Consider the following 9,814-nt stretch of genomic DNA (forward strand, 5'->3'; position numbering starts at 1 on the left):
AATGGTTCAGTTTATCATGTATGCTTAGTTTGGTTTTACCTATATACATATGTAGATATATATGCATATACATAAATATACATACACATATTTGTATATGCACATATTGAAATGTATCTCATGTTTTAAGTGATATTTTAACTTCCTACATAATTGAAAGCTATTTGAGAATATATTAAATTGTAGATACTGTTAATTGTTTTGCCACATATGTGGCTAACCCAATATCCATTCCCTTCTTTATTGCTATAAAAGTCCTGATCTTGTTTGCTCTGCTTAAAGAAAAACAAACAGAAAACAAACAAAAAACCCAAACTCTACGTGTTCTAGCTTCTCCTGTTGATGTAAGTTAAAGTTCTTAGATTGGGCTTCTCAGACAGTTTTTTTTTTTTTGAAATGGAGTCTTCACTCAGTCACCCAAGTTGGAGTGCAGTAGCGTGATCTCAGCTCACTGCAACCTTCACCTCCCGGGTTCAAGCGGTTCTCCTGCCTCAGGCTCCTGAGTAGCTGGGATTACAGGCGACTGCCACCATGCCCGGCTAATTTTTGTGTTTTTAGTAGAGATGAGGTTTCCACCATGTTGGCCAGGCTGGTCTCGAACTCCTGACCTCAGGTGATCTGCCTGCCTAGGCCTCCCAAAGTGCTGGGATTACAGGCATGAGCTACTGCACCTGGCCACTCAGGCAGTTCTTTAAAGGTATGGGGATGGGGTGGGGCAGGCTCAGTGTGCATACATTCTTTTTCCCCTTTCTGTCTGGAATGTGGATATTGTGCTACATGCAGAGCAGCTATCTCATAACCATGCATTTTTTTTTTTTTTTTTTTGAGACAGAAACTTGCTCTGTTGCCCAGTCTGGAGTGCGGTGGCGCAATCTCAGCTCACTGCAACCTCTGCCTATTGAGTTCAAGTGATGCTCCTGCCTCAGCCTCCTGAGTAGCTGGGACTACAGGCGTGCACCACCATGCCTGGCTAATTTTTGTATTTTTAGAAGAGATGGGGTTTCACCATGTTGGCCAGGCTGGTCTCAAACTCCTGACCTCAGGTGATCCGTCTGCCTCGGCCTCCCAAAGTGCTGGGATTACAGGTGTGAGCCACCATGCCCGGCCATAACCATGCATTTATAATGGAAGGAAGGAGATGAGAGTTTACAATGTCATATTAAATGAAAATAGAGGATTTTAAGTTATATATGTTGTGTGAAAGCAATTTGATTAGAAGATATGTATATTCTACCTATCTATGCATGAAATGTGTAGTTGCACTTTAATTTTCTTCATTGTAACTAGACTCAAGCTTGTGAAAGAAGGGACTTGTCTTTTTGTTTAGTTGTTCCATCTTCACCATTTACAATGGCTAGCACATAGTTGGCTCTCAGTAAATATTTGATTAATGAAAGAATAGTAAGTAGTTAATAAATGATAGCAGTGCTACTTAGTTTCTTTTTGGTTGCACAGAGGAAACATGCCCAGATTGCCTTAGGTTTCTGTTACTCTCTGAGATTACTCTGTGTTAACTCTACCTCTGGGGTAGTGAAGAGGTATGCCAAGGGGTGTTATAAGCCAACATTCTTCAGACTGGGTATAAGTTCTTCATCATCCATAGGACTTTTGATGTTGGGCGAAAGATATTCACTGCTTTGATTATTTATTGTTTTCTTTGATTATTTATTAAGTTTCTGTAAAGCATAAAATATAACCAATTTTTCTCACATTTAAACTTGATTATTAATTTTGATTAATATATATTTCTTTTTTTTTTTTTTTTTTTTTTGAGACAGAGTCTTGCTCTGTTGCCCATGCTGGAGTGTAGTGGCACACTCTCGGCTCACTGCAACTTCCACCTCCTGGGTGCAAGCGAGTCTCCTGCCTTAGCCTCCTGAGTAGCTGGGATTACAGGTGCACACCACCACGCCTGGCTAATTTTTTGTATTTTTAGTAGAGACGGAGTTTCACCATGTTGGCCAGGCTGGTCTCGAACTCCTGACCTCAAGCAATCCGCCCACCTTGGCCTCCCAAAGGGCTGGGATTACAGGAATGAGCCACCGCACCCAGCCAATTCTTTTTTTTTTTTTTTTTTTTTGAGACGGAGTCTCACTCTGTCGTCCAGGCTGGCGTGCAGTGGCACTGTCTCGGCTCACTGCAACCTCTGTGTCCCAGGTTCAAGCGATTCTCCTGCCTCAGCCTCCCGAGTAGCTGAGATTACAGGTGCCCACCACCACTCCCGGCTAAATTTGTATTTTTAGTAGAGATGGGGTTTCGCCATATTGGCCAGGCTGGTCTCGAACTCCTGACCTCAAGTGATCTGCCTGCCTTGGCCTCCCAAAGTGCTGGGATTACAGGCATGAGTCACCGCACCTGGCCAGATTTGGATTCTTAAATGCCAATTGAGTTCTTAACAGGGAAATACTAGAAGCATTTCCGTTACATAAGGAAAGAGACAAGAATATATGTATCACCATTACTATTTAACTTTTTTTTTTTTTCTTGAGATTGAGTTTTGCTCTTGTTGCCCAGGCTGGAGTGCAAAGATGCGATCTCGGCTCACCACAACCTCTGCCTCCCAGGTTCAAGGGATTCTCCTGCCTCAGCCTCCCGAGTAGCTAGGATTACAGGCTTGCGCCACCATGCCTGGCTAATTTTGTATGTGTATCAGAGACAGGGTTTCTCCATGTTGATCAGGCTGGTCTCCAACTCCTGACCTCAGGTGGTCCACCTGCCTTGGCCTCCCAAAGTGCTGGGGTTACAGGCTTGAGCCACCGCACCCGGCCCTTAACTTTTTTTTTTTTTTTTAAGAGATGCTTGGTAGAGTAATTAAACAAGTAAAAAGATTCAGAGGCAAAAAAATTCTGAAAAGAGGAAATAACAATGACATTAAATGCATAATTCCATAGGAAGTATGTCTGGAAGATAAATGTTTATGTATATATTTTTAATCACCCTCTGAACCTGAACTTGAGTTAATCAGACTCATTTATCACTAATCTTTAAAAGGGCTCTATTGATCTGTTTCCAACACCATACTCTACTTCCATTCTCCTTCTGCTGTAGACACATTCAAAATGATTAATTTGTTGGACGCGGTGGCTCACGCCTGTAATCCTAGCACTTTGGGAGGATGAGGCAGGCGGATCACCTGAGTTCAGGAGTTTGAGACCAGCCCATCCAACATGGCAAAACCCCCATCTCTACCAAAAATACAAAATTAGCCAGGCGTGGTCGTGCACACCTGTAATCCCAGCTACTCGGGAGGCTGAGGCAGGAGAACTGCTTGAACCTGGGAGATGGAGGTTCCCGTGATCGAGGTCATGGCATTGCAATCCAGCCTGGATGACTGAGTGAGACTCCAACTCAAAAAAAAAAAAAAAAAAAGATTAATTTTATCTTTATGCTTGAAAATGTTCTTACAAAGCATATATTTTACATACGTGTATTAAATATATATATATATAAATGTCTCCTGTTCTTTTTCAGTAATCATAGTGTTTTTACAATTATCTGTTACTATGTAAACATTTATTTCAAGGCATTGGTCACGTTACCTACCTACTCTTCCAGGGAATGGACATGCAGATTGCCTTCATACCCTCCCACCACAGGAAATGCTGAAATTAATAATCTCATACATATCCCTTTATGGGCCAGTTTGAGAATTTCTTAGGTCACAGAATTTCTGGGTCATAGGATATGAGTTTACTTGACTAAGTGGTGCCAGATTCTCTCCGGATTGGTTGTAGGAGTCCAGACTCCCACCAGTATGGAATGAGAGTTTCCATATCCCACATCTGTATGAACACAGCACTGTGTAGCTGTCTCATAGTTATCAGTCTAAAAGGTATAAAGTAGTATTTCTTTGTAGTATTAATGTGCATTTCTCATTGCCAGTGATTTTGAATAGCTTTTATGCTTGTTAGCTTTTTCAGCTTGTTTGTAAATTGCCTTTTGTACCTTTTGTTAAAATGTAATTGGGATTAGTCTTTTTCTTGTTAATTTGCAAATGTTTATGTTTTCTAGATATTAACTCTCTGATAGTTTTAGACTCTGCTGATACCCTCTTATGTATTATTATACTTTTTATTAAACAGAAATACTTATTTTAATATTATTGTTATGTGTTTGTGTATATGTATGTGGCTTATGGTATTATTATTTAAGAAACATTTTTCTGGCTGGGCATGGTGGCTCACGCCTGTAATCCCAGCACTTTGGGAGGCCAAGGTGAGCGGATTGCTTGAGGTCAGGAGTTCGAGACCAGCCCGGCCAACATGGTGAAACCCCATCTCTACTAAAAATACAAAAATTAATCGGGCGTGGTGGCGGGTGCCTATAATCCCAGCTACTCAGGAGGTTGAGTCAGGAGAATTTCTTGAACCTAGGAGACGGAGGTTGCAGTGAGCCAAGATCGTGCCACTGCACTCCAGCCTGGGCAACAAGAGCAAAACTCTGTCTCAAAAAAGAGAGAAAAAAAAAAGAAACATTTTTCTTCTCTAAGGTCACAAAGAAATTCTTCTACATTTTTGTCTCTTGACTTTGTAGTTCTACCTTACACAGTTAGGTCTTTAACCTATTCCAGAGTAAAATTTTGTATTTTCAAAAAAAAAACTATTCTCCCATAATTGTCTCTTTCAGCCCTTCTCTGTGAGATGGTATTTTTTCCTGCCTCTGGATGAAATGTCTGTCAAGTGTCATTATAGTCATTCTTAAGTAATAAAAAATCCAGTAGACAAGATCAGCCTTAATTTGCTAAATGAAATACCTGGTATATTACAATAATTAGTACTCTGAACTGTTTAAAATTAAGACTTCTTCCTACAACTGAATCTTAGGTAAAGATGGACACCTGCATGAGGGAAGGAATATGTGAGCAGCTTCCATTTCCCTTCCATGGTCTTCTCAGCTTCCTCCAACAGTAGATTGTTCAGCCTCCCTAAAGCAGGAGAAGAGGAAGGGGAAGAAAGGTAAGAGACAGTAAAGGTCTTACTTAACTGGTATTGTTATAATCAGTGTTTGGTTCTCTCCTGCCTTCATGGATAGTCAAAGCTGACCCTTTTTCTTATTGTTAGGTGTTTTTCCGGGTTTCTAAGCAAATACCTTGCTGCAGATCTTCAACTGCAGGGGAGGGCATGTTGCCAGAACATCCTGTTTACAGAGGCCACTTAAAATCCTTACGTTAACCCTAGGCATACTGTGGTCATCCTTTTCTGGTGGGTCACATTGGCCCTCCAGAAGTTCTCTAGAACAGGATCCAAGATCTCCTGAGGTCAGCTCACTCCGTATGGTCCATATCCTGTCACCACGTGGGAATTAAGTTCCTATCTCTGTTTCTCCTAAATGGCAGGAAAAAAGGTAAAGTTCTCCTAAGAACTCTCTTAACACACTCCCCTTTGGATCTTAGAGGGACTGGGATGGATCGGGTCAACTTGCTTGGTTTGATTAGAGGAGGAAACACCCACCTCCTTTCCTCAGGGTGCTGAGAACACACCCACAGCTCTTCCCAAAAATAGTCTCACCTCACAAAAAGTCCTCTTCCTCAGCCTCCCCAGCCTCTCACATGTCCTTGAGGTATGTTGAACTGTAGCAAAAATTGTTTATAGCCAGTTTCTTTTTTTTAATTTTAATTTTTTAAAATATGGTCAGCTGGGCGCAGTGGCTGCCTGTAACCCCAGCAATTTGGGAGGGTGAGGCGTGCGAATCACCTGAGGTCAGGAGTTCGAGACCAGCCTGACCAACATGGAGAAACCCCATCTCTACTAAAAATACAAAATTAACCAGGCATGGTGGCACATGCCTGTAATCCCAGCTACTCAGGAGGCTGAGGCAGGAGAATTGCTTGAACCCCGGAGGCAGCGGTTGCAGTGAGCTGAGATCGTGCCATTGCACTCCAGCCTGGATGACAAGTCTCAAAAAAAAAAAAGAAAAGAAAAGAAAAAAAAAGATAGGGTCTTGCTCTGTACTCCAGGCAACCTTGGCTCACTGCAGCCTCAACCTCCTGGACTCAAGTAGTCCTCCCACCTCAGCCTCCTGAGTAGCTGGGACTACAAGCACATGTCACCACATCTGGCTAATTTTTATAGTTTTTTCCTAGACGGCACCCGGCCTAGAAAGCAATTTTAAACAATGAGAAATTTCAAGAAGGTGACTGGATATAAAATATGCCAAAATAGTACACATAATGTATATGATATACATATATATATGAAAACAACAAATAGAAGATTCAATTGAGAAAGTTTTAAAAGACCCCAGCAATGATAGACATAAAAATATGTTACTAAGGAATAAAATTAGCAAGAATTGGTATACCTTATGAAGAGAACTTGAATATGGAGGGACTAATCAGAAAACAAGTGAAAAAGCATAGTATAGGATGCCTCAAACTCCTAAGGGTTTAAAACTTAATTTGTAATAATTTAATGTGATCCCAATCTGATAATTATTTTATTAATAAATTAATAATTGTTTTATTAAAGACAAGTTAATTCTGAAGTTCATGTGGAAAAGTCAATATGGCAGAATAGCCAGGAAAATTCTGAAAAAGAGTAATTCAGAACATTTACTCTACCATATGTTTAAACATAAAATAATAGCCTTGGCTGGGTGTGGTGGTTTATACCTGTAATCACTAAAAGCACTTCGAGAGGCTGAGGTAGATGGATCATTTGAGCCCAGGAGTTTGAGACCAGCCTGGGCAACATAATGAAACACCATCTCTACAAAAAATACAGAAATTAGCTGGGTATGTTGACACATGCATATAGTCTCAGCCATCCTCCCAAATGCTTTGGGAGGCTAAGGCGGGAGGATGGCTTGAGCCTGGGAGGTCAAGACTGCAGTGAGCTGTGATTGTACTACTGAATTTCACCCTGGGTGACAGAGTGAGACCGTCTCAAAATAAAATAAAATAAAATAAAATAAAATAAAATAAAATAAAAGTCTTAAAATAGCATGGTTCTGACAGATGAGCAGACGGATCAGTGGAGTGGAAGAGAAACTCCAGACCCAGTAGGTAGTGCAGTATTCTTCATATGGTAAAGACAGCATTTCTAATTAGGGGCACACATATGGATTTAGTACTTCGTTTATAATATACAACTGTATATTGTAACCATTGTAGAGGGGAAGAAAATAGGTCGTTAACATTTCATATCTATTATTCCAAGTGGATCAGAGATTCAAATGTGAAATATGAAATCATAAAAATTCTCGAAATAATGTGGAAAAAATGTTAGCCTCAGGACATGGAAATCATTCTAAGTCTAACACAAATCCTAGAACCCATAATTGAAAATAATAATAAATTTTTTTTTTTTTGAGACAGAGTGTCGCTCTGTTGCCCAGGCTGGAGTGCAGTGGTGCGATCTCGGCTCACTGCAAGCTCCGCCTCCCGGGTGCACGCCATTCTCCCACCTCAGCCTCCGGAGTAGCTGGCACTACAGGCGCCCGTCACCACGCCGGCTAATTTTTTGTATTTTTAGTAGAGATGGGGTTTCACCATGTTAGCCAGGATGGTCTCGATCTCCTGACCTCGTGATCCACCCACCTCGGCCTCCCAAAGTGCTGGGATTACAGGTGTGAGCCACCACGCCCGGCCTAAATTAATTTTTTTACTTGGCAAAAACTATTAATGCTAAAATTCCAAAAGATAATTGATAGCCTGGGAAAACTTACCTGCAACATATATCCCAGAAAAAGTTAATTTTAATGAAATGAAAGTACTGCATATCTAATAAGGAGGAAAAATAATCAAAAAGAAAATAAGCAAGGGATACAGAGATGGTTCATAGAAAAGGAACAAAAAATCGCCTTTTGGTATGCATGTTTTCATCTGTTTGGACTATCATAACAAAATATCACAAACTGAGTAGCTTAAAAAACATAAATTTATTTTCTTATAGTTTTGAAGGCTGGAAGTTCAAGATAGGGGTGCCAGTACAGTTGATTTCTGGTGAAGGGCTGTCTTCCTGACTTGTAGATGGCCACTTGCTTTTTGTGTCTTGACATGGCTGTTATTCCGCATGTGGGAGGAGAGAAAGAAATCTCTGGTGTCTCTTCCTCTTCTTGTAAGAACACTATCAGATTAGGTTCCCACACTTACAACTTTCATTTAAGCTTAATATCTCCTTAAAGGTCCTATCTCCAAATCCAGTTCCATCAGTCATTAGGGCTTTAACATGAAATACGGGTAGACACATTTCAGGGTACAATAATGTGAAAAGATAATTATCCTCGCTGATAGGAATAAAATATAAATTAAACCTACAATTTTTACCTAGTAAAAGTTTAATGTGAACTAGATTTTTTCAGATGTAAGGCCAGGTGTGGTGACTCATGCCTGTAATCCCAGCACTTTGGGAGGCCAAGTGGGCAGATCATTTGAGGTCAGGAGTTCGAGACCAACCTGGCCAACATGATGAACCTCTGTCTATAGTAAAAATACAAAAATTAGCCGGGAGTGGTGGCATGTACTTGTAGTCTCAGCTACTCAGGAGGCTGAGGCAGGAGAATCACATGAACCCAGGAAGAGAGGTTGCAGTGAGCTGAGATCATGCCACTGCATTCCAGCCACCTTTTTTCCCCAATAGTGATATGGTTCAGGTCTGTGTACCCACCCACATCTCATGTCAAATTGTAATCCCCAGTGTTGGAGGTGGGGCCTGGTGGGAGGTGATTGGATCATGGGGTCAGATTTCCTCCTTGGTGCTGCTTTCATGATACTGAGTGAATGCTTGTGAGATTTGGTTGTTTAAAAGTGTGGCACGTCCCCACTCTGTCTTCTTCCTGGTTTGGCCACGAAAGACGTGCGTGCTTTCCCTTCACCTTCTGCCATGATTTAAGTTTCCTGAGGCCTCCCGAGCCATGCTTCCTGTCGAGCCATGAGCCAATTAAATCTCTTTTCTTTATAAATTACCCAGTCTCAGGTATTTATTTATAGCAGCGTGAAGAATGAAGTAATACAAATGGCTTTTGAGGTACATGTGGTTTTTGGTTATGTGGATGAATTGTATAGTGGTAAAGTTTAAGATTTTAACTTTCGCGGTGGCTAACGCCTGTAATCCCAGTACTTTGGGAGGCCGAGGCAGGTGGATCACGAGATCAGGAGATTGAGACCATCCTGGCTAACATGGTGAAACCCTGTCTCTACTAAAAATACAAAAAATTAGCCAGGCATGGTGGCGGGCACCTGTAGTCCCAGCTACTTGGGAGGCTGAGGCAGGAGAATGGTGTGAGGCGGAGGCGGAGCTTGCAGTGAGTCTAGATAGCACCACTGCACTCCAGGCACTTGTAACAGAGCAAGACTCCGTCTCAAAAAAAAAAAAAAAAAAAAGATTTTAACTTTTTAAGAAACTGCCAAGTTAGAAAATTAAAGAAACTAGAAAAGAGCAACTAAATCCAAAGCAAGCAAAAGAAAAACAATAAAGATCACAATGGAAATCAAAGAAACAGAAGACATTAAGACACATACTAGAAAATGTCTGAAACCAAAAGGTAGTTATTTGAAAAGATAACTTGACAAGCAAACTTGACAAGCAAAAAAGAACACAAATTACCAAAATCAGAAATGAAAGAAGGGAAATCACTATCAAAAACCTACAAAATTTAAACTTTATGCTAACAAATTAGGCAAACTAGATAAAAGGGAAACATTTCTGGTAAGTCATAAACTATGAGAACCAACTGGAAGAAATTTCAAAACTTGAATAGACCTATAACTAAAAAAGGACTTTATTAAAATTTTCCATGAAGAATAGCCCATAAATAGAAATCTATGAAATATTTAAAGAAAAAATAATACCAATACTTCACAAATTCTTTCAGG

This window comes from Homo sapiens, chromosome 19, assembly GCF_000001405.40.
Source record: "Homo sapiens chromosome 19, GRCh38.p14 Primary Assembly".
NCBI classification, from domain to species: Eukaryota; Metazoa; Chordata; class Mammalia; order Primates; family Hominidae; genus Homo; species Homo sapiens.